Source organism: Homo sapiens, chromosome 3, assembly GCF_000001405.40.
Source record: "Homo sapiens chromosome 3, GRCh38.p14 Primary Assembly".
Taxonomy (NCBI): Eukaryota; Metazoa; Chordata; class Mammalia; order Primates; family Hominidae; genus Homo; species Homo sapiens.
Genome location: NC_000003.12, coordinates 46,871,127 through 46,895,010, shown reverse-complemented (window position 1 = coordinate 46,895,010; position 23,884 = coordinate 46,871,127). Strand labels below are relative to the sequence as shown.

Below are 23,884 nucleotides of genomic sequence, written 5' to 3'. Positions count from 1 at the left end.
ATTACTGCAGCCTCAAATTCCTGTGCTCAAGTGATCCTCCCACCTTAGCCTCCCCTATAGCTGGGACTACAGGTGTGCACCACCATACCTCGCTAATTTTTAAATTTTTTTTTTAGAGATGGGGTCTCACTATGTTGCCCAGGCTGGAGAGGTCTTTCTTCCTAGCCACAAAGTCTTCCTCATTTTCTGACTTGTATTCCTTCAGCCACCGCCCAAGCTAGGCCCCCCTGGTCCTTACATGTCGGGTCTGTGGCAATGATGGGAAGCTGAGTCCAAGCAGCCTGGACTGGGATGAGAATGACTGTGCTCATTTTCCTGCCTCCACCCTCGGGCCTCAGTGTGGGGATGTGGGTAGCAGGGTGGGGTACAGTAGGAAGCGAGAGGCTCCATGGTGGATGATGAGGGGCAAAGAGAGGCTCCTCCAGGCTTTCACAATTAAGAAGAGGGGCTGGGTTCAGGACCCAGAATGAGGGGGCCCATCTGACCCCCCAGATCTCGATGTGACTGGGAGCCACTGTTGGGGCTGGCATCGGTGGGGCTGTGACTGCAGAGACCATGTGAGTCTCTGTGAGTGTGAGCAAAATCTGTGTGCCACAGAGTGTGTTTGTCATTGTGTGCTTGTGTTCTGGGCGATCACCAGCCTCAACCCCTGCAGAACCCTAAGGGCTTGTCAGGGGAGGAAGCGGCTCCTCTCCTTCAGTCAGTTGGGGTCTGGGCCTCTTCAGTTGATGAGATTAACCCGACAGCTATCAGTCTGAGTGCTGGTTGTGGGCAACACAGGGACCTGAGCTCGAGACTTAGGACAAGCCATGGATGCCCGAGCCTGCTGACTCCACTCTTGCACCACGCACCCCACTTTGGTTCTCACTTTGGCCTGGCCCCCTTTACCTAAGTCCGCCCCCACAGAGAGCCTTCACCTGGCTCTGTATCCTGGGTCCCGCCCTTGACTGGCCCCTCCCTCACCTGACCTCATCCCCAGACCCTCTTCCTTTGACCCCCACCTGGCCTCTGCAGGACCTCCTTGAGCCGTTTTTCGCACTGGGCCTGAGCACGGTGCAGCAGGAAGATCTGTTCCTCTTTAGTCATGACGTCATCTGCATCCACCTGCCAAGCCGAAGGTCAGACCACAGGCAGGACTTTCCGGCGCAGCAGCAGGTCCCAGAGACATCCCAATTTCCCAGAGGGACTACCCCCTTTCAAAAGGCCCTGACTCTAGAGGGAAGGTGGGATTTCCCCTGCATGTGGGGAATCTGCTCTATGGAGCTCACACCTTACAGATGGGAAGCTGTGGCTCTGAGGGGTAGGGCCTGCCTGATCGAAGGGAAAAAGCAGGGGCTCTCTCCTGCCTGCCCGCCAGTAACCCTGTAGGCTGCAGTCACTGATATTCTCTGTCCAGTCCTTTCCCCAGGGGTACATGGGACTGGAATGGAATGTCCCAGGATGGATCCACACAGGATCCTGGCTGCCTGCTGGGGACATGAGTCGGGGGCAGGGGGTGGATAAGGAGTGGTGAACTGTGGGGAGACAAACCCAGCCTGGAGTCCTTCAAGTCCTGGCACCCTGGGGGGTCTTGGGAGTCACCAGTTTCCATCTTGGCCCAGCTCCCCAGTCAATGCTGTCCCCAGTGAACGGTGAGTGCCTCAATGCCTCCCCTCCTTACAATCCCAAGAGAGAGAAAGAGAGGATGGAGGAACTGTTGGCATGCGGCCTGGGTTGGGCTGGGCACTCTGGTGCTGGCTGGGGGTGGGAGTCCCTCTCATTCCACTGCTTATCTGGGAGCTCCCTCCATCCAGACTCGGAGTTCTGATGACACTCAGGCCCTCACTCCTGCTGTTCTCTGCCTGGAATGTCCTTTCCCTTCCCTCCAACCTGCACACCCTGGGCCCTGGCTGCCACCCACCGGGACTCACTGGCCTCATTATAAGAAAGGAAATGAAATATCATGCGGGTGGAGGCTCACCCAGAGCAGGTGGCTGCTGAGGGGTCTCAGCCTCTGTCCTCTGACTTGGGAGCAGCCTGGTGTGCCTAGCCCAGCCATTCCCGTGAATGTGACCCGCAGAGGTTAAGGCGGTCTCTGAAACCTCCCCAGGGCGGGGCTGTGAAGCCCTCAGCCCCATCCCTCTTAATTCAGGGTCGTGTTTCCTCAGACCCCTGGGCAGGGGTATGTCCCCTGAGACGACCCCCTCCATCCCTACCCCAGAAGGCTACGTCTCCTCAGCTCCGCGGCAGAGCTGCATCCTTCAGACGCGCCAAGGCGGGGCCGGGGCCCTGCAGTCCGAGCATGGCTGTGAAGGGCGGGAGGACCCAGAGGAGGCAGGGGAGGAAGAAGGCGGGTCGGGCATGGGGCGGGCACCGGCGAGAGGGGCGGGCAGGCCGGGTCAGAGAGCCTGGCTGCAGGGAGAAGTTAATTGACCGCGTCTCTTGGCGGCAGCAGCGAGGGCTTCCAGGGCCAAGGAGTCTCCAATTGGCTCGGCCGGCCTTGGGTTCTGCTGGTTCCACTTAGCGGAGCCGCGTGCGCGTCCCTGTGCGTGCGCGCGCGAGTGGCAGCGCATTCTCGAGTGGCCGGCGCGTGCACTTGTGTGTGCCCGTCCGTGCGCGTTCTCACATGGAGACTGTCCAGCCTGTCAGTATGGGACGCGAGCCGGACGTGTTTGTGAGCATGCACGTGCACATGTATTTCTGGGCATAGGGCGGCGTGTGTGCGTCTGTGAGTGAGGCGGCAGCTCCTTAGCCTTTGCGTCTGTGGGTGGCCCGTGCTTCTGGTGTCTCTGGGGGCTGAGGTGGACCCTGAGATCTCCGCTGGTACTATGGACCCCAGGAAGGGCTGGAGCAGATCCTCACGTGCTGGCGGCTGGCCTAAGCTCCTCTATCCTAGTCTCTTTGCTTCCCCAGCTATGGCTGAGCTGGCTGGGGCAGAGGTAGACACAGAATGATGGGATGGCTTAAGGGAGGACAAGTTGGACTTGCCAGGATCCAGGGGCCTCCAAGACTAACCTGAAGCTCTCCCTGTGCCTCTGACATGGGGGATCCATGCTGGTGAGGGGGCTGATCCCTGTCCACCTCACTCCATTTACAGCACCCATTAACTACCATTTCCATCGTTGCTGCTAGTACCTCCATCAATAACCATCATTACTGTCACTAACACCAACACCAGCATCACCAGTCCCTCCCAGTACTACCACCACCACCACTGGCATCACCGTTACCACCATGAGCACTACTGTAACCATCCATATAACCACCATCACCACCATCTGCACCATCACAACTGGTACATCACCAGCACCAGCACCACTGCCACCACCTCCAGCATCACCAAGGCAACATTAGCACCATCAGCAATACTGCCACCTGCCCAACAACTACCATCTACACTGCCTTTGCCATCTTGTTGTCTTACCCCCTCCCCACTATCCTTCTTCTTCTGCCACCTCCACCCCTCTCAAGACAAACCCATTGTGCTGTATTTTCTCCAGCTGATGGAGAGCTCTGGAGTGACTGACGGAGGCTCCCACACATCCTTAGAGACTTGCTGACTCCCTGGGCCTCCCAACAGACAGACCAGCCTACTGATATGACTGGGGGTCACCCCTGATGGCCTAGACTGCAGGCAGGCAGTCATGGGTTGAAAACTGAGTGGCCATTGGGCAGCCTGACCACCGAAAGCTGACCAACACACCCCTCACTGGCTCAAGGAATTGGCTCAGCCTCTACCTCCAGCTGTTGGCTTCACCTTCTCCATGGCCAGGAGGAGGCACACCCCTTTTTCTGGAGTTGGGATGTTCAGGAGAGGGAAAGATATGTGCTTCCAGCACGCATGACTCCCACACTCCTTCATTCATCCATAGGGGTGGTGGCCCCACCTCTGGCCTCCCTGAACTTTAGGACCTATTTATCTGTTAGCACAGCCATTGCAACAAGAATAACTCATGTTAAAGTTAAGGAAGCACTTTCCCAAGAAGAGGAGGACAACCCCACACCAAGTGCGCTACCCCTCCAAACGTTAGCTCACAGCTCCGTGCCTGGAATGCCCCCACTCCTGTTCACTCCTCCCTCCAGCTGTGCCCTCCTCTTCAAGGAGATTCTGCCACCAGCCCCACAATGTGAATCCCACCTCCACCCTTGACTAGCTTCGTGTCTGAGAAAGTTGCTTAACCCGTGTGCCTCAGTTTTCCTGTAAAATCAGGGTAATAATAGGGCTGTTGTTGGCCCGGCACGGTGGCTAACACCAGTAATCCCAGCACTTTGGGAGGCCAAACCAGGTGGATCACCTGAGGTCAGGAGTTCGAGACCAGCCTGACCAACATGGAGAAACCTTGTCTCTACTGAAAAATACAAAATTAGCTGGGTGTGGTGGTGCGCCTGTAATCCCAGCTACTCGGGAGGCCGAGGCAGCAGAATCGCTCAAACCTGGGAGCGGAGGTTCCAGTGAGCCGAGATCGCGCCATTGCACTCTAGCCTGGGCAACAAGAGCGAAACTCCATCTCAAAAAAAAAAAAAAAAAAAAAAAAGCTGCTGTGAAGATTAAATGAAGTACTTCACAACAAGCCTGTGCAGGGGTGAAGCTCAGGAAAAGCTGGTTGCTATTGTTGATACTGTGAGCAGCAGCAGCAGCAGCAAGTCACATCCCCGCCATGTGCACCCCTGCTGCCTGGTGACATGGGTGCTCCCAGCCAGGCCAGGGACCCAAGGTGGCTGGGGGAGATTATCTGGGTAGATGGCTGAGTCCAGCAGGTGACAGTGAGGGGCAGATGGGAGATGGGGCCCCAGGGTGGACTGGGGGCAGGGACTACAGGAGGACCTGCTAGATAAGGTGTTCCTGGCAAGCTTTTGGGATGGAAGAGTATCCCAATGGCTCCTTGCATTTCTGGATCCACTCTGGACTTACATTAGGATTCAAGGTTACTGCCAGAGGCCCCAAGCTTGAGCTTAGGAGGAAAAAGGACCCCCTCCTCTGCCTCTGCCCTGACTGAGGAGGCCTTATCTCCTGGGGATGAAGGGGAAATGCTGACAGCTGTATCTCTTCTCAGCCTGGCATGCCCCCTGTCTGCTACTCCCTTCTCCCCGCCCCTCCAACCCTCTCTCCCTTGAGGAGTTCCTGTCTTCTTGGCTCAGCGCCAGGGTGCAGAGGACTCAGGCTTGCGTCCCCTTAGATCCAGCGGATCTGCAGATCTTGGGTCTCAGGGGTGAGGACTGAGGGACTGGGGCTGGGCTGTGGCCAGGGGTCACTTAGTCCATACCCACCACTTACAGGCCACCCAGCCCTGCACCAGCTGTCCCATATCCCCCCAACACTCCTCCTATGGTCCTGATTAGGGCTGACTTGACTCCCCCAACCCAGCCATCATGGTGCTTGGCTTCAATACCCTCCACTGTAGCACATCCTCCCCATGGTCAGCAAGGAGCTTTAAAACCCATGCCTCCTGCACCTTCTACCACATCCCCATTTTACAGACAGGGACACTGAGGCCAAGAGTCACAGAAAGAGGAGGGCCAGGGATGGAGCTAAGATCTGCTTGACACTGAAGCAGCAGCCTTGGAAGAAGGGAAAGAGAGGAGGAAGTGCCCAGCCACACGGGTACCCTGGCACCAGCCACGGTATCATCTTTCCATAATCCTGGATTTTAGCTGCTACATTAAGCAAGTCTCCCTTTGCAGATCCCCTAAGGCAGCCTCCCCGAAGCCGATTTAGGAGCAGAGGTGTGTAGACATAAAGGTGCCGGTGATGCCAGTGATGGCGGCTTGTCCCCAGCTGTAACTGGGTAGAGGACAGTTGGGCTCTGGTGTTGGGAACCAGGCCGTTGATGCCTCCAGCACAGCCAGAAGGAGAAAACCCTGGCTAACAGGAGACCCCTTCATGACCTCCTGGCCTTCCTACAGCCCTCCTCCAGGTTCTACTACTGGGACCCATGCTGGCACCCCTGGATGTCTCCCGTGCCAGCTGGCTGGGACTGCTCCCCCACCCCTGCTGCCCTCTCTCTGTCCGGCTGGCCTGAGCAGGCTCCTCGTCCTGCCCCGCCACCGCTGACAAGTGCTGACTTTTCCTCCCCTTCGCCAGGCTTTCCTGAACAGGCTGCCTGTGTTTGGGGCTGGGAGGGGCTGGGGGGGAAGAGGCACTGTGACGCCTCTCATCCTGGCCAGCCAGCGTGGCCGCCTTCGGGGCAGGCAGTGGGATGCAGCCTGGGATAGCGGAGTTGGCTGCTACGACCTGGTGGATCTTCATAAGCAGGCCCTACTTGGGTTGAGGAATCAAGGCCCAGAAGAACAGTATGGCCTAATCTAAGCCATCGCCTGCTCAGCAGAATGGGATCCCACTAGGTCTCACCTCGGGCATAAGACTGGCCCCAGAGTTGGGGCTTTTAAGGGTTTGAAGGTCTCTGATGTTTCTGCAAACCTGAGCAAAAGTTTGCGCCCTTCTCCCAATCACACCGTATTTTGCAGACAATTTCAGAGGTCTGCAAAACCCTCGCCCCACCTTTTCTTTTTCCTGAGGACTCTCCTTCTGAAATAGCTGCCTTCCTGATGTGGTGGCTGGACCAGGGAGTGTCCCCAGAAGGCCCACAACAGGAATCTGAGGGAGGCTACTTGACGCCTCATTAAAACATTCCGAAGAAAACCCCAGTTCCTCGGAGGGCTCGGCACCCTCCTGCTGCTCTGTCCATAAGCCGTTTCAAGAGCTGAGGTGAATGTGTTTAAGAGCAGGTGATATAAAAAGCTTCAACAAATCAATACGAAAAAGACAAATAACCCATAGAATGATGGTTAATGGCCCCGAGCAAGCTCTCACTGTAAAGCCCAGAAGTCACTGGTAATCAGCAAATTAAAATGACAAGAGACACCATTTTCACCTATCCAAGCAAAGGTGAAACACAAAGAATCCTCTTAACATCCTATGAGACAGTGGGTGTGGGCAGAGAGGCCCTCCTGGTTGGTCTTGGTGTTGTATAAGTACAAAGCAGCACAAGCTTTTTAGAGGGCAATTTGGCCATGCTATTAAAATAAAAAATATGTATATTCTCAGGCCCAGCAATGACAAAATCTAGAAATATCCTACTAGGAAATAGTCACATGGGGACACTAGAGGGCATTTCAAGGAGCTTCCCTGCCACCATCTGGAATCACGCACATATAGACACACACACAAATTATGCAGAAATGATCTAAATGTACATTCCTATGGACTACTTAATGAGTCCCAGGTTTTGGAATACTATGCAGCATTTAAAAATATAGATTCATATTTACTGAAATGAAGATCTCTAAGACACACATTTACGTCAAAATATGTATGTGGCAGAGCCCTATCTAGAAACCGATGCCATTTATTTAAAAACAACCAGACAAATAGAAAATGACAAAATTATCTACTTGATATGTACACAAAGAGGTACCATTTGGAAACACACAGAAAGAGGAAGGAGAACGCCCCTCTACCCAAACTGCTAAAAATGGTTTTCCCTAGAAGGGAACTGGGGCTTGGGAGTGATCAAGGAGGGCTTCTGTTTAATTTTTATTGATTGACTCTCTCTCTTTTTTTTTTTTTTTTTTTTTCAGAGACAGGGGCTCACTCTGTCACCCAGGCTGGAGTGAAGTGGCATGATCGTAGCTCATTGCAGCCTTGAACTTCTGGGCTCAAGCAATTCTCCCTCCTCAGCCTCTCAAGTATCTGGGATTACAGACTTGTTTGACTCTTTTATAAGAACATATTCATATATCAGTTGTGAAGTTAAAAATTAACAAAATAACAGAAGGATTTAATTTTTTTTTTCTTTTTTACAGAGCCTCTGTCGCCCAGGGTGGAGTGCAGCAGCGTGATCTCGGTTCACTGCAACCTCTGCCTCCTGGGTTCAAGCGATTCTCCTGCCTCAGCCTTCCAATAAGCTGGGATTACAGGCACGTACCACCACGCGTGGCTAATTTTTGTATTCTTAGTAGAGATGGGGGTTTCACCATGTTGGCCAGGCTGGTCTCGAACTCCTGGCCTCAGGTGATCTGCCCGGCCTCCCAAAGTGTTAGGATTACAGGTGTGAGCCACTGCACTCGGCCATGATTTAATTTTTAAAAAAGAAAAAAGAAAGAGAAAACCCAGAGTGAGACATGAGGATCTCCTGCCAGCAGCAAATCTCGTGCTGCTTTTGAGGAAGGAATTCAGTGCAAAGGTCTAAAGATCTGGGTTCAAATCCTGCTGTGCCACAGACTCACTGTGTGACTCTCAGGGCCCTTTAGCGTAGAAATCACTGGGTGAATGGATGAAATAAGAAAACAATCTGTGACAGTTTCTAGCTCAGAATCTGGGGACAGCCACTGTTCTGTACATGTTGGCTTCTTCCTGTCTTTAAAAGCAAGCAACCGGCCGGGCGTGGTGGCTCACGCCTGTAATCCCAGCACTTTGGGAGGCCGAGGCGGGCGGATCACGAGGTCAGGAGATCGAGACCATCCTGGCTAACACGGTGAAACTCCATCTCTACTAAAAATACAAAAAATTAGCTGGGCATGGTGGCGGGCGCCTGTAATCCCAGCTACTGAGGAGGCTGAGGCAGGAGAACGGCGTGAACCCGGGAGGCAGAGCTTGCAGTGAGCCGAGATCGCACTACTGCACTCCAGCCTGGGCGACAGAGTGAGACTCTGTCTCAAGAAAAAAAGCAAGCAAGCAACATGGCCAAGCTGCCCCTGGAGCAGGCTGGAAAAGGTCCCACACACTCCCAGCCTGTGAGTCCACACCACAGTCTCTTGTGAGTCCTACCCAGTGGTCACATCTTCACACTCAAGGCCTGCCCCATGCTGAGCTCCAGCTTCTCTTGTTGCAGTTTCTCCTCCACATGTGTACATGCTGGGGGGGTCCTTAGGAGGACGCATCCTCAAGGACAAGAGTGCCCCTTTGCCTCCTACTCACAATCTGTGGGTCTATCACTTCCTCCAAACTCCACCCCGCCCCAGACTCCAGGCTCCCAGGTAACTGTTTCCTGTACAGCAGAAGATGGACCAGCTGAGTCTGGCCACAACCAGTGTCCTCCAGATGGAATGCTCTTTGGCCCCCCAAATGTGAGGTCACTGGAGATGTGAGCCTGGTCTTGGGACCAGCTGGGCAGGTAGCATACAGGTTTGGTGACCGGCCATGAGATAAGGTTGGTGGGCTTGAGGGGCATAGGTGCAGATCTAAAGGGGGGCAGTAGCCCTCTGGGCTCAGGAGAGGGAGCTGGCAGGCTGCCAGCTTCTTGCTGGCCCCAGATGAGTCCAGGGGGCCCATAGGATATTGGATGGGTGAGTAGGCTGCCCCCGCCCTTCAGTCCCAATCTTCTGGCCCCGAAGCCAGGGAGTGTCCAGTGAACTCACATGCCCCAACAAGGTCCTGGGCAGACTGAACACTGGCATCTGTCCTTCTACTCTCAGACATGGGCCAGGGCAAAGCCAGGAAGATTCTCTGCATATATCTCAGCTTCCCTGGAGAGCAGTGGGGCTCTGGGTACCCATACTCCACACACACATAGAGGCACAGGGCTTGGCATGAGATAAATAATGGTCATTGTGGTTGTGTGATTCGGGCCAGTTAAAAATGGGGACAATAACCTTCCTCTGAGGGTGGTTGGGAGGATTAGACTAGCTAATGTACGTGAATTGCTTAGAACAATGGCAAGTAGAAAGCCCTACAGAAGCATTTATGAAATACACATAAGAAAACAACAGGCCCGGGTGCACAGGCGCTCACAAAGGCACACACAAACACACACAACTGCGCCTCCAAGTCATGCACCACAACTTCAGACACGTGAACTCACACAGGGACTCAGACACTCACAATCACACAGACCCAGATGAACACCATGCCCAGAGTCCCACAGAACCCTGCTCTGACACATAGACTTACTCTCAGGACACCCACACCCATCACCCTGTCTACCCCTCAGGCCGTCACACACCAAACTCCGGGGGTGGGGTTGGTGGTAGTTCTATCCCCTGGCATTCGTCAGTACTTGGAGTGTCTCTGCAGAGGGTGTTGAGCTCCTCTGAACCTCAGTTTCCCCATCCACAAGGCCTTGTATGGGGCTGTCTTTGGTGGGGAGCCTTTGCTGGGGCCAGAATTGTGAGGGTGTAGGCACAGGTAAGTGGGAAGTGCTGAGGACCTCAGAGGAAGGGAGAGCCTCTGATGATGGGATTCTCAGGCAGATGTTTCTTCCAGGCCCTCTCTTTTACAGATGGGGCAACTGAGGCACGGAGAAGGACAGCCCAGGCTTACACAGGCATCATGCAAAGGTGGAGGAATCCCAGGCTCATTGGAACTGCCTGGAGCTCTGCCCCGTGTAGGGAGCTGCTGCTGGTCAGGAGGAGGAGGCTGCCTGACTGCCCTGCTCTCTAGCAGGCAGATACCCCCACTGGGGAGCAGGGAGAAGAGGCTTTGAAGTTAGGCGCACAGGCAGACAGCCTCCCCAGGAACGGGCTCGTCCCAGGGGATGGGGTTGCTGTGGAATAGGACTGAGGGGCTGGGACAGCCCCCTTCCCAGCAAGTGGGCCCCAGACCCTGGCCCAGGAGGAGGAGGTGCTGCCCACTCTGTGTCTCCAGCTTTCTGCCTTTGCCTGTCTCCCTATTTTTTTTGCTGTTCTTAGTCTGTCCACCCCTCCAGCTGGGGGGATCTCTCCTCCCCACCCGGCTTTGTCTCTGTCTCTCCTCTCCCTCTAGCCTTCCCTACCATTCTGCTTTTAGGTCACTCTCAGGGAGTGACAGTCTTTCCAGGGGTCTCCTCACTTCCCCACAGGATATGCTGTGCTTCTCCTACAGGGGTGCACTGTGAGGTCAGTCTCCTTCAGGGAACTCCATCCCTTCTCCATGCCACACCACACCCACCTCCTTGGGGAAACAGCTTCTACCCTGGGTGAAGCCAGACGTGTGCATGTGTGTGTGTGAGGGCTGGAGGGGGCCCCTAAATCCTACCCCCTGCCTGGATGATTCTGACCTCAGACCTACATTCCCTGTGTCCGGGACTGCAACAAAACTTGCAGAAAACAGAGGTCCCCAAAGCAAAGTCTGTGGGAGTACGCAGCAGGGCCAAAGCCCAGCCTTCTGTTGGGTCACACTGTCATCTTCCAGGGAGAAACAGCCATGGTGCTCACAGAAGCAGAGGATGGTGAAAACTCAACCACAAATTGCCAGATTTGGGACCCCAAACGAGGCTTCAGAAATAGGGAGGCTTCAGGCAGCTGGAACCCACAGTCCAGACATCCCAGAGACAGCAGGCACCCAGGATCCTGGATCAGAGGGGACTCTCACCCAAAGTTCGAACTACTGGGGGAACTCAAGACTGCGTGCCTTAGACCTATCCCGCGGACCCTAGGGTAAGCCCGCAGCCTGTCCCGGAGTGTTGGCGGCGGGGGACTCACCAGCGCGTACGCGGAGCTGAGCACGGGGCAGCAGAGCAGGAGCGCCAGGCCGGGTGCGATCCGGGCGGTCCCCATCGCCACCGCCTAGGGCCGCGTCCCTCGGGGCAGCCGCCGCCGCCGGCCCTGGTGGTGGTAGGGGGTGCAGAGCTGCGTCAGGCTGGCCGCCCCGCCCACGCCCCGGCCTATGGGACCCCGGCGTCCCGGCGGCCCGAGGCCCCGGGGCCCGGCGCGGGGCCCATGCGCTGAGGGCGAGCGAGCGAGCGAGCGAGCGAGCAGCGCAAAGGAGGGAGGGAGGGAGGGACAGGAGGGAGGGAGGGAGAGCCGGAGGCCGGGCGGGCGGCGGGCGGGCGCCGAGCGCTGCGGAGCGGCCCGTCTGCCTCGGAGCGAAGAAATCACATCCATATGGCCGGGCCCCCCGCCCCCGGCCCGCCCCCCGCCCCCCTCCCGCGCCGCCTTTTCTTTCTTTCTTTCTTTCTTTCTTTCTTTTTTTTTCTTTTGGGGAAATGGGAGCTGTGGCTTCGCCCCACGCCCAGTGGGGGGAGGGGGCGGGGGAGGGGTCGGGGTCGCGGTCTGCGGGGGGCGCGCAGGACTGTTATTTTTAGCTCCGCGACTTTCGGCGTAGGGAGTCAGGGCCGGGCAGGGGGCGCGTTCTGAGCCGCGCGGGGCGTGCAGTTAGGGGGTGCGATCTCAACTTTGCAGCCACACTGAGCCCTTAGGTGTTCCGGCCGCCAGCCCCCGGCCGTTCGGCCTCCTGAGATCCCAGACCCTCGGCAGCCGCCTCCCGCACCCCTTCCCCATCCTTGGCCAGAGCCCCGCTTGCGCCTGTGCGGCTCGGGCGCGCAGCGGCCCCGACGCTCTGTCGGTCTGCCTGTCTGTCAGTCCGTCTCTAGCTCCCCCGGCCTTGGCCTCAGTTCTTCCAGCGGCCCCAAGCTCCGTTTCGGTCACTCCCTCGCTCCCTCCCTCCCCCTTTTCTCTCTACGAAAACATTTGCAAGTTTCCAAAAAAGCCACCGAGCCGAGCGGCGCGGGGCTGGCGACTCCCCCGGGTTCCGAGGAGGCGCCGCCGACTGACACCGAGACAGAGCAGCCTGGCTGCTCCGGCCAGGCCCGGAGTCGCTCCTCCCCGACTCCGGCCACTTCCCCTCGGCGCGGGTCCCCAGCCCCGACTTACTCCGAGCGCGCCGCCGCGGCCCCCGCCTTGCCATGGATGTCGGGGCCCCCCCGACAGCCTCCCCAAGCCAGCGCCCCGTCCGCGGCCCCGGGGGGACTTCATGGAGCTCTCGGGATACCCCCCGCTGGCCGGCCTGGCCTCCAGCGCCCCCCGCCCGGCCGCCGCTCGGAGCCACCGCCCGCCGCGCGCATCCCTCGCCTCGGCGTCTGCCGCTCCCCTTCTCCCCGGCCGGGCGCCTCTTCCCTCCCCCGCGCCCTCCCGGGCCTCTCCCGCCCCCACCCCCTCCGCAGCCGCCGACGCGGGAGTGTGGAGAGGCCGAGAGGAGCCTTCCGCCCCCCGCCCCGGGACATTGCGCTAGAGGCCGAGGCCCGGAGTCTTACGGCGGCGGGATGTGAGTGCTGGGGAGACGGGGCGGGGGCAGCTGTAACATCGAGACCCGAGCAGGGAACCCGGGACGCCGCCGCCGCTTCATTCTCTTCTGGAAAGCACGGGCTTTTAAATTTTTTTTCCCTTGATCATCCGGCCCCCGCTGGCGAATAGAGACCCTGAGCCGAGAAGCGAGCCCTCTTTCATCATGGGCGAATCCCCTGAGGAGGCTGCCCGGTACCCCCGCGCGCCCCCGGCCGCGACGCTGTCAGTCCACTGGGCTCCCGTTCGGGCCGGGTCGGGGTCCCTGGGGAGGCCGCTCGGCTGCCAGCCCCGAGCCCGGCTTGGCTGCTGCCGCCCTCCCCCACGTCCAGCCCCACCCTCGCCTCGTCCCCTGCCCTCAGTCCCATCCCAGGCCTGTCGTTCCTCTCGGCCCTAGGCCAGCCCCGACCCCCGCCCAGGTCTGCAGCCACACATCCCGCTCCCTCCCTGCCCAGCGTCTCTTCGGGTCCGGGTCTCCGAGTCTCGACCCATTCAGCTGCTGGCCGGGCCTCTCCAGCTTGCCCAGCCCCAACCCCGGAGGCTCGAGGCTGCCAGACCTGGGGCTCAATCCAGACACCCACTCTCAGGCTTCACCTCCCTCCCCCGTTCCCACCCCCACTCCCAAAAGCTATCGGCCGGCTCGGACCGGGCCGCCTGGGACCCTCGACTTAGGGGAAGGCAAGGAGGAGTCCGCGGGGGTTGGGGCTGAACGGGGCGGGATTTCTGTGTTTGGCTGGGGAGGGCACGCTGGAGCTCTAAGAGGAGGGGCCCTTCGACCCCAAACCTACCACCTCCCGGTACCAAGTGGGGAAACTGAGGCAGAGGGAGGGGCTGGGGATGCCTGGAGCGCAGGGCTTTAAGGATCGCGGAGGAAGCGAATGCATGAGGCCCTGGGAAATGAGTCTGGGCTAAGCAACAGCCTGTGCTTGCCCGCTTACCAGTTGTGTGTCCTGGACACTACCACTCTTCGGCTGTCTGGACCTCAGTTTCCTCATCTGCAAAATGGAGAGGTTGGCCAGCTGATTCAAGGGCAATGTTAACTTTACTGTTTAGTTTCCACGAGGGTGGGCATCCTGGCCCATGGGCTCCAGGGGCTCTCAAGACTCAGCCTGTGGATATTGAGCTCCTCGGAGCCTGCAAACCTGCCCTCCAACCCTCAGTGCAAATCTGTCAAGCCCAAGTCCTAAGGCCTAGGATCCAGCTGCAGCCACCCTTCTGCTGGCTCAAGCCCATCCAGCTTCCAGACTGCACTCCCAGGTGCATTCCCCATGTATTTCTTCTGCTGCTACTTTCTTCTTCTTTCTTCTCCTTCTCCTTCTTCTTCTTCTTCAAGACAAAGTCTCACTTTGTCACCCAGGCTGGAGTCCAGTGGCATGATCTCTGCTCACTGCAACCTCCGCTTCCCAGGCTCAAGTGATTCTCCCAAGTAGCTGGGACTACAGGTGTGTACCACCAACCTGGCTAATTTTTGCATTTCTTGGTAGAGACGGGGTTTCACCATGTTGACCAGGCTGGTCACGAACCCCTGACCTCAAGTGATCCACCTGCCTCAGCCTCCCAAAGTGCTGGGATTACAGGTATGAACCACCAGCCTTGGCCCTCCCCATGCATTTCTATGGCTGCCTCCCTTCTCTGTGCCCACTGCCCTCATTTCTTTTTCTGGTGTTCAAGGGCTGTGCTATTTGAGACAGTTTCCTCCAAAAATGACTCTCCCTAACAGGAACTGTCTGCTAGACTCCTGGTCTTCTTCACACATCCACTCTCCTGCCTTTGTCCTTGCTGCTTCCTCTGCCAGGATCATACTCTTCTGCCTGGTGTAAAGGACACTCCCCTCCCTCCTTGTGTGCCCACATCCTCCGTTACTGGGGAGGGAGGTTGTGATTTCAGGGCTGCCTCCTATGGTATGTAGCCTCCTTGGGACGGAGGCCCAGGTGCCAGAATGGGCACCTAAAGAACACTTGTGGTTCTTCAGTGTTATATTTTAATGGTCTCAGCTTTATTATGCCTCTGTTTCTTTTCTTTTTTGAGACAGGGCTGTTGGCCAGGCTGGAGTGCAGTGGTGCGATCTCGGCTGACTGCAACCTCCACCTCCCGGGTTCAAGCAATTCTCTGGCCTCAGCCTCCTGAGTAGCTGGCATTATAGTTGTGCACCACCACGCCTGGCTAATTTTTGCATTTGTAGTGGAGATGGGGTTTCTCCATGTTGGCCAGGCTGGTTTCAAACTCCTGGCCTCAAGTGATCCTGTCTCGGCCTCCCAAAGTGTTGAGATTACAAGCGTGAGCCACCACACGCAGCATTTTTTTTTTCCCCAGACAGGGTCTTGCTGTGTCACCCAGGCTGGAGTGCAGTGGCACGGTCATGGCTCACAGCAGCCTTGACCTCCTGGGCTCAAGCAATCCTCTCACCTCAGCCTCTCATGTAGCTGGCACCACAGGCATGAGCTACCACACCTGGGTAATTAAAAAATTTTTTTTTTGTAGAGACGAGGTCTCACTTTGTTGCCTAGACTGGTCTCCAACTCTTGGGCTCAAGCAGTCCTCCTGCCTCGGCCTCCCAAAGTGCTGGGATTACAGGCATGAACCACCGCACCTGGCCTATGCCTCTGTTTCTAAGTGTCTCTAAGTTTTATGGTTCTGTGACCACTGATCTTCCACCCTGCTTTCCCCCTTGGTGATGAGAAAAGAACATTAATGGAGGGATTGGAAGGACTGAGAGATAAAACTAGAGGCTGAGGGGAGGAGTTCTTTTCAGATCTGACACCAGGGAAAACTTGAGATTTGGAAACATACTACTTGTACTTGGGAGGATGAGGGTGGGCTGTGGAGAGGGCTGCAGAGAGGAATCTGATGGGTGCTGGGTCCCTTAAGGGCATTCCTCCTGCCATAACTCATGTGCCTCACCCCAGAGTCCCCTGCTGGACATTCCACAGCTGTGGGTGGGGCCACAGATCATCTCTCTCACCCTCGGGCCTCTGGTTAAAGTGCTACCATGAGGGTGGGGGTGTCACACATTAACTGGTAGCACCCAAGCACCTGGCAGAGTCAGCTTGCCCTTTTTGACAAGCACGCCCCAGGGGCTCAGAGTCAGTTTCTGGTTAGTGTCAGGTCAGTGTTAGTTTCAATGGGGTTTGAAAAGGCCTGGCTGGGGGTGGGGAGTAGGAGTGAGTCCCTGTCTCTAATCCCCAGGCTGGGGCCTAGGAGGAGGAGCCAGGGTGGTCACTGGATCTCAGAACTGCAGTAGGGGCCAGACTCTGGCCCCACCCCTGCTGGTGTGGCAGCCCCAGGCTGACAGGCCTCTGCTGCAGCCATCCCACCGTGAGTAGGGCTCTGGCCAAGGTACACAGACCCTGGGGCCAGGGTGGGCATCAGACACCAACAAGCAAGGCAAGAGGCTCAGCTGTCTGAGCAATGCAGCCTGGCCTTCCTCCCTCAGAAAACCCCTTGGCCAGACCAGGGGTTCTCTGGGACTAATGGCTCACATCTATTTCTGAGTCCTTATATTTCCCCAGTGCTTCATCCCAACACTAGCCCCAAAGTCAGGCTGCATCCAAGCTTAGCCCTGATCCCAGACTGAGCTCTATCTCCATCATGAGCCCCAGCCTCAGGCTGAGTTCTTATCCCAGTCTGATTTCTAGCCCCTGGCTGAACTCTGACCCCAGGTTGTGCCTCCACCCAGCCCTCAACCCCAGACCTCTCTCGGCTTCTAGGCCCCTCTGGAAACTTTTTGAGGCAAGAGCCCAGTAGGGGAGGGGATGGCTAGGCCATAAGTGAAGCGAGGTGCCACTTTTACAGCCATTTCGGCTGCTCATAAACACCCCCTGACACCCAGCTGAGTCGCTGGAGGCTCCCATGGCAGCTGGCTGGGTAGCCCCCTTCCCTTGCAGCAGAAGCATGGCTGCCTGGCTTTCTTGCCTCTCAGGAAGGTGAAGGGAGGGGCGATGGGGGCACCTGGGGCCAGCAGGCTCTGTCCCAACCAGGGAGCACTCCTAAGGCTCCCAAGGAGCTAGAGGTATGGGCTTTCTGTCCCTGCTGGCCTCATGGTTACAAGCCCCCTGCTGTCATAACACCAGGTCCACAGATGTGTCTCCATGCGGGCATGTCTTGTCTGCCCCATAGCACGGCCCAGGTATTTAGACACTCACCCCCAGGGAAACCACAGACTTGGGCTTCCCAGCTGTGCTCAGGCCCCTAGGCTCCCCTGGCCCCCACTCACCTGCAGCCCATGGGCCTTCCAAGTCGGGCCTAAAGCTGCAGAGCAGACTCAAGTTGGCCACGGGGAGGCCATGGATAGTCCCTGAGCAGCTTCTGTGGCTCAGGCCTAAGCAAGGATAGTGCTGCTGGGGACAAGAAAAGACCTGAGTCAGAGCTTCCACTTGAAAAGAAAATTAATTATTTTTTACCAAGCCCTACACTGGCCCAGGACTTTGTCCCAGGCTCCTAGTCAGGAGTAGGAGGCAACAGAGGCAGATCCAAGTGTGCCGGTGTTCAGATGCCCAGGGCTGGGCCCTCCCCTCAGCACCCATGGGTCTGCCTGCCAGGTAACTGGGCCCACTCAGGCTGCCAGACACGTGTGTGTGCCTCAATAGTCCTCTCCTTGCCCTGCCATGCCTCTCTCTTAGTCTCTGTGTCCCTGTCTAACCCTCTGGTCCTTTCCACATCTCAGGAATATCAGGCTGCCACGAGGTATGAACACAGCCCCTACTAGTGACTTCACTCAAGTTTAAGGCACCCAGAGAAATCAGAGGGGGGCTGGAGGTGGTTCTTGCCTGTGTCACAGGCAGGAAAACTGAGGCCCAAGAAAGCCTGATCTGCCAGCACTGGGTACCCAGTGGCTCCTAGACGGAAGAGATGGAGGGGGCCGTCATTCCACTCCAGCCCGTGTCCTGACCCCTACAGCCCCACAGCCACCTCATATCTGACTCCTTGCCCACTGGAATGTGGGCTCCTGGTGAGGAGTCAGCCAGGAAGCCCTCCCTATCTGCCTCCCAGGCCCTTCCAGGCCCAGGGTCTGCTTAAGCTGTCACAGGTCTCAAAGGCAGGGGGCTGTGGACAGGATGACTTCTCTCTGTGGGTCTGTAGAACGAGCTGTGTTCAGAACCAGGGCTGGTTGCTCAGGATGAAGATGTGGGCAGACAGGGAGGCAGAGACCCTGCAAGATCCCAGAAACCTCACCCCCAGGCCCTGTGACCCGGCTGGAGGCTGCCCTTCTGCCTGAGCCCAGTCTGAGCTGGTTTGTGTCTGGAAGTCCTAGGCTCAGCCTGATGAGGTATAATGATTCACGTGGCAGCTGCCACTCAGCACATTCCAGCTGTAGCCCCCAGTGCCCTGCATGTGAGGCAGCTGGCCCCAACCACCCCCAGCCATTGGGCACATTCCTAGGGCCCCCCTCCCTGGGTCTTCCAGGCTCCTGGGGAGGGTACCACTCATTAGAGTTTCCAAAGTACTTTTTGTTTCACAAGTTAGTCAGGGAGGCAGGCTCGGTGATACCTGGCCTCCAGGTGGAGGAAACGGGACCAAAGAGCAGAATGGACTGGCCAGGGGACATAGTGAAACTATGACAAACAGCACTTATGGGACTCCTGCCCCAGCTACTCTGAAGTGCACTGCTCCAAGGGGTATCCTGGGACACGTAGGCTATTCTGTGACCAGGCCAGCGGAGGTCAGTGGGCAGTTGTGCCCAAAGGAGGGAGAGTTCCCCTGTGCTCTGTCAAGCCTCCCTGTTGCCCTGGCTCTTGACTGCCAGAGCCTCTACCTCCCCTGAGTCCACATGCACTGCCCTACCCTGCCCACAGGCCCCATCCTCACTGGCCAGGGAAGCAGGAGGCTGGGGCCTTTTCTGCTTTGACCTGTGGATCCCTGAGCCAGACGCCTTCCTGCTCATGGCCTCAGTTTCCTGATCTGTTGTTAACAGTTGGGCAGTTTCAGGCTCAAAGGGGATCTGTAAAGTGCCCAGGCACTTGGGTCTTGGATGCAAGCAGACCTGGGAGTCTGAAAACCTGAAGGCCTTTCTCTCCTCGAGCCTTGGGCCTGCCAGTTTGCGTTCCTCCTGTGGGCCCCAGCCCAGGGCTCTGGGGGGCAAGTCTGGCCCTCAGCTCCGGGGACAGGAAGTTGTATTTTGGTCCTGGGTTCTGGGGAAGAGGTAGGGGGAGAATGGCAGCTCAGACCCAGCCATGTTTACTCGGGCCCGGCCCCCTCCGAGCTCAACAGGCTCCCATTCATTGGGAGACCCATAAACCCTTTGGGGCTCCCTGAGGTTCAGAACGCCTGGATGCCAAGGCTGGATGCCGCCCCCAGACCTGCTGGGAGCTGTGGGCAGCAGGTGGGGCATGAGTGAGGCATAAGTGGGATGGTGGGTGGGAGCCTGAGACTCGCCTGAGTTTCCAGGTATTTGCAGCGTCGTAACAGTTCTTGCCCCATGCACATTGTGGAGCAGTTGGGAAATCCAGGGAGGTGGTGGAGGTTGAAGGGTTCCTTCCATGGCCACGAGGCCATCAAAACTGATTTCTCTTAGATCAGGCCCCAGAAGGGTGTCTCCTCAGACTAGGCTCCTGAGGGCATGTCCTCAAATTGCATGACCCTCAAGGCAAGGCTGAGACTGCTGTGTCCAAAGCGGAGCTGATGTCCTTGCTGAGGCTGCATACCTGGCCTTGGGTTGTTGACAGTCCACTCCCTGGCAGTGTGGGCATGGGCTTGCATCCCACTGGAGTAGGGCAAGTCTCTGGTCTGTTCCTCATCTGTTCAGCAGGAGGTCTTCACCGGAAGGGGAAGCACTGGGATTGGATGCTGAGGGATGGGGCCCTCAGGTCTGCATCCCTCAGTGTTGCGTGTTGTTACCTTTGTGCCCATCTCTGTGCTTTCTTTGGGTGAGTTAGAGCACCGTCCCGTGGTCCCTGGAAATGGAAGGGAGGCAGCAACAGTGTTCAATGGGAAGAACTGTGGCTTGGGGGTCCAAATCTTGTCCAGCTTTCCCATGACCTGGTAACAATTCTGTCCCCACTCAGGTCTTCAGTTCTCCCTGCCACAGACGGGTTAGAGTGGACTCTCTCCAAACCCACCCCCAGCCCTGCTGTTCCCAAGGGCAGCTCTGAGGGAGATCCCTGGTGGCATGGTGGCGGGGAGTGGGGTAGGAGAAAGGCCTCCCCACCAGATCCCCTTTCATCAGTGCCCCCACATGCCCGGGCAACCTGGCCAGCCACTGGGGACACTGGTTGGGGGTCCAAAGCGGGTCCTGTTTCCCAGACGCCTTCTGGGTAGAGTGTGATTTCCCGCTCCAGTGGTTGTAAAATCCCCAGAAGCCTAGTGCGTCCCTATTGTGTGTGTGGGGGGGGGTCTGTGCCTCGGAATACCCCCTCCCAGGCGTGTTTGACACGTGTTTCCGCCTCTCCCTGCATGGGCTCCCGCTGCTGCTATTTATAACCTTTAAGAGCTCCTGCCGACTGCAAAGTTTTCTTAAACTCAAAATATCACCGAGGTCCCGGGCACGCGTTCCAGAGGCCGGCTGGGCCCTGCGGTTTGAAGGGAGGAGGGGGCCAGGAAGGAGGAGGTGGTGGGGAGGGGGTTAGCTCAGACACTGGGTCCTTGCCGGGGGCTGTGGCCGGGAGCCCTCGAGTGGAGAACCCCTAGTCCTGACACTCCTGCCCTGTTAGGCCTGGAGGAACCCTCTATGTGGGTGGTCCTTTGTCGTGCCTTGCCAAATCTCTGGGCCTCAGTTTCCTCTCACTCTAAATGCCTCAGGGGACACTGGCTGGGGCAAGGCAATGAGCTGGCGGACACTGGGAATGTCTCTAGGGCTGGAATCAGGGTTGTGTCTGCCTGGCCATCCTGCAGGCTGCACCAAGCCTGGCCCAGAGGCACCGTGGACATTGGCTGAACTGGCTGGAGAGGGGAAGCACTCAGGGAAGTTTATAAAACCGTGTATGGGAAAGCGACATCCAGAGAAGGGCAATGGCATGCCAGAGGTCACCCCGCTCATCCAGAGCAAGTCTCCAGGCCTTCCGACACCCGTGCCCTCTGAGGTGAGCCTCTTTGGAAGAGGCCGAAGGGCTCTCACTGGGCACAGGTGGGTCGCCAGTGTGGAGGAGGTTCTGGGCTTAACGGGAGGTGGCTAGGCATAACTCAGATGCCTCCCTGAAGCTGGAGGGGACACTGGCAGCTGGTCTGGCCCAGTGAGGTCAGGCCTCTGCCCAAAGTCACACACCCAGCTCCTGCCTGCCCTGACCTCTGCTCTATCTCTGGGGCCTCTCTGCCTCCCGGACTAGTCATGATCTTTTTGGGGAGGTCAGTGGTCTAGGCTTCCCCCAGTCCCACTGCACTCCTTTCCTGAGCTGGTGTGGGGGCTGTGGAGGCAAGGGACTGGAGCACTGAACTCAGGGCCATCCAGTACATCCTGTCCTCACAGCAGCACCCTCTCTCAGCACAGCTGGCTCTGGAAGCCACTCTTGGCCCAACGAGCAGAGCTGGGTTCAAGATGGAAGGGTGACCACCCCCGCCCTTAAACTCAGCGGCCCCACATCAATTTTTCCAATCAAGCGTAACCACACAGGGCTCCTTGGGGGTGGAGGGGGGCAAGGAAGTGATGACCTCGCAAACAGAGGAGGAGGAAGAAGAGGAGGAGGAGGAACAATGTGTTCTGCAAGCTCAGCCCTGCCTTCCGTGGCCCCTGCCTGCACCTTACTGTGTGTTGGGCTCAGCTGGGAGATGCAGAGACTCAAGAGTTTGGGGGAGCCAACTCCCTGCCTGGCCCCACTGCCCTGTGTTCCCATTCCCTGAACCCTCCATGAGCTCTTGGCCTCTGCCCCTGCACTTCTTGCCATCTGACTTGTCCTTCCCTTCTCTGCCTGGGTGGCTCTTGTATGCCCTCCAAAGGCCCCCTCCTCTCTGAAGCCTTCCTGGATCTGCACCTTTCAACTCCCAGCAGAGTGAGACCTCAGACCTCCTGGTATGACTAGAAAATTTAGCACGGCATGATATGCTGCTGCCTCTGTCCCAATAGACGGCGAGCCCTTGAGGACAGGGGCTAGGTTATCTCTGTGGCTCTGCTGAGAAGCCTCCATCTCTTGGGGGAGGGCACACCTATTGGCCAGAGCTGTGGATTCCAAACACCCTGCTCCCTTACCTCTTTGTCTCTCAGTTGCCATGGGTAGGCTCAGTTTCCTCATGAGCAGGCCCCAGGATCAGAGACAGATCCCTTCATTGTTGGAACGCTCATTGTCGGAACGTTTTCCTCCAGGAAACGTTATGAGATGGAATCTGCCTGACGGCATCTTCTCAGAAAGCCAGGGAGCAGCCCCAGGGGTTGAGCTGGAGCCTAACCCTGAGACAGCAGCTGAACCTGGAGCTGGCAGAGAGGACCCACCCTCGACCCCCATCCCAGACCAGCCTGGCTGTCCCTGCAGCTGCTGCTGTGAGACCATGGGAGTGGGGAGACTGGCATGTCCTCTCTCTGGACCCCAAGGTCAGGCGAGGAGGGGCCTGAGAGGTGGTGACGGCTTCTGGCAGCCGCAATCAATGATGGTTTCTCCTTGTTTTCCTGCCCCTGGGAGGTGTATCTCCAATGATTCTAGGTGGGGCAGGGGCCACGAGCATGCTGGTTGGGGGTGGGCTGAGGGGGGGGGTCTTGGGGCCCTACAGCATCCCCTGCTAAATCCCCCACAGAGGCTGTCCTGCTTATGCTCTCAGACCAGGACTCCCGAAGGCAGGGCCTCCCTTTGGATGGATGGGCTCACTGTTAGGCAGGGCTCCCTCGGGGCGCAGGAACTCCCCAGCCCCTCCCAGCTCATCTGCAGCCTTGGATGAGCCCCTCTGTTTATGCAGAATTCCAGCCAATTGTTCCCCTGTTGTCTTGGCTTCAAGCTCCAGCCCTCTGCCCCTCACTGAGACCTGGCCAGGGGCACAGGCTGAGGCAGTGGGGAAGGAGGACACTCAGGTCCAGGGATGCCCCACCCTGGCTGCACTGGGAGGACCGTGCACCTGCTGAGCCCACCTTTAGGGAACTCTCGCCCCACTGTGCAGGTGTGAACACTGAGGTCTCCAGAGGGGAAGAGGTTCCAGGAGTCAGTGAAGGGGCCAGCACCAGAACTGAGTTCTCTCTCCCCAGCCAACCCAACCCCAATCCCAGGACCTGTACCCTCATCAGCTTTGGATGGGAGGATGATGCTCCAGTGTCTCCTAACATTCCACTGTCCTCCCAGAACAGTTTCTCATCCAACCGAGCTCCAGACCTTTGGGGCACAGAGGTATTTACCTCAGCCCTGGCTCTAAAACCGCATGAGGCTCCCTGGAGCAGAGGGCTCCAAGGCCAGATGCTGCAGAGAGCTGGGCTCCTGGCCTCACCCTTACCCGTAGGCTCTAGGCTCTGCATTTGGGGGTTCTTGTGCTGGTCTGAGGGGGTTATTACACATTCCTGGGTACCCGTGAGTCTCTGAACCTGCTGTGGTCTCCCCACAGCCCTCAAGGCTGACCTGATGGGAGCTTGCCTGTCTCCCAACCATCTCTCCTTCCCTTTTGTCTTCCCTCTGCTTGCACTGGGGTCCAAGATCTGGGAAAGGAATGGGTCGGGAGCCTTCCAGAGAGTCCTTTCCCACGAGAGCCAAGCTCTGACCCCGTCCTTATCTGGCCCGGATGTGCCAAGAACAACACAGATGCTGAAGCTCGAAAGCCCCAAACCAGGACGCTGACCTCCCGGCTCAGCTACTCTGCTTGGGCCTCTGTTTCCCCTTCTGTGAACAGGGTAGGGTGGGGTGAGAGGAGGCAGTGGAAAGCTCCCAAATGTCCAGACACACACGTTCACACACAAACAGATGCGGACACTACCGTGCCAGGCAGGCCTGGTAGGGTTCCCTGATTTCTGCTGCCTTCAGCCCTGCTCCTCCTTCCCAGTGCTCATTTCTGCCTGGAAATTATACCTGGGTGTTCTTTCTATACCCGTGAG

At 57.6% G+C, this 23,884-nt stretch overlaps 2 protein-coding genes across 10 annotated transcripts in view, besides 4 other annotated features; one reads left to right on the top strand and one right to left on the bottom strand.

The window, feature by feature from the left end:
* PTH1R (parathyroid hormone 1 receptor) overlaps positions 1 to 17,290 on the bottom strand; it is a 26,079-nt gene extending 8,789 nt beyond the window's left edge. For 4 of the 8 annotated variants that reach the window (XM_011533967.4, XM_017006934.2, NM_000316.3 and 1 more), the window contains exons 1-4: positions 17,168 to 17,290; positions 13,893 to 13,949; positions 11,377 to 11,499; positions 1,002 to 1,104 (exon numbers count right to left, since the gene is read on the bottom strand). In XM_011533967.4, the coding sequence (XP_011532269.1) occupies positions 1,002 to 1,104; positions 11,377 to 11,451 (178 nt within the window). In that variant the 5' untranslated portion in view covers positions 11,452 to 11,499; positions 13,893 to 13,949; positions 17,168 to 17,290. Of the gene's footprint in view, positions 1 to 1,001; positions 1,105 to 11,376; positions 11,500 to 12,546; positions 12,763 to 12,926; positions 13,017 to 13,892; positions 13,950 to 17,167 lie in introns of those variants that run through there. The other 4 variants (XM_011533968.3, XM_047448632.1, NM_001184744.1 and 1 more) reach the window with 4 other exon arrangements.
* Positions 4,097 to 4,852: an enhancer, noted in NCBI's record as "H3K4me1 hESC enhancer chr3:46931649-46932404 (GRCh37/hg19 assembly coordinates)". NCBI's record gives its function as "activates a minimal SCP1, AML or CMV promoter by ChIP-STARR-seq in naive H9 embryonic stem cells {active_cell/tissue: H9 hESC(naive)}" and the evidence as "EXISTENCE:reporter gene assay evidence [ECO:0000049][PMID:30033119]".
* Positions 5,611 to 6,368: an enhancer, noted in NCBI's record as "NANOG-H3K27ac-H3K4me1 hESC enhancer chr3:46930133-46930890 (GRCh37/hg19 assembly coordinates)". NCBI's record gives its function as "activates a minimal SCP1, AML or CMV promoter by ChIP-STARR-seq in naive H9 embryonic stem cells {active_cell/tissue: H9 hESC(naive)}" and the evidence as "EXISTENCE:reporter gene assay evidence [ECO:0000049][PMID:30033119]".
* Positions 6,369 to 7,126: an enhancer, noted in NCBI's record as "NANOG-H3K27ac-H3K4me1 hESC enhancer chr3:46929375-46930132 (GRCh37/hg19 assembly coordinates)". NCBI's record gives its function as "activates a minimal SCP1, AML or CMV promoter by ChIP-STARR-seq in primed H9 embryonic stem cells {active_cell/tissue: H9 hESC(primed)}" and the evidence as "EXISTENCE:reporter gene assay evidence [ECO:0000049][PMID:30033119]".
* The window catches only part of MYL3 (myosin light chain 3), a 24,311-nt gene continuing 13,255 nt past the window's right edge, over positions 12,829 to 23,884 (top strand). For both annotated transcript variants that reach the window (NM_001406939.1, NM_001406938.1), the window contains exon 1: positions 12,829 to 12,937. The gene's annotated coding sequence lies outside the window, so the exon portion shown is untranslated. The remainder of the gene's footprint in view (positions 12,938 to 23,884) is intronic.
* Positions 20,903 to 21,757: an enhancer, noted in NCBI's record as "H3K4me1 hESC enhancer chr3:46914744-46915598 (GRCh37/hg19 assembly coordinates)". NCBI's record gives its function as "activates a minimal SCP1, AML or CMV promoter by ChIP-STARR-seq in naive and primed H9 embryonic stem cells {active_cell/tissue: H9 hESC(naive and primed)}" and the evidence as "EXISTENCE:reporter gene assay evidence [ECO:0000049][PMID:30033119]".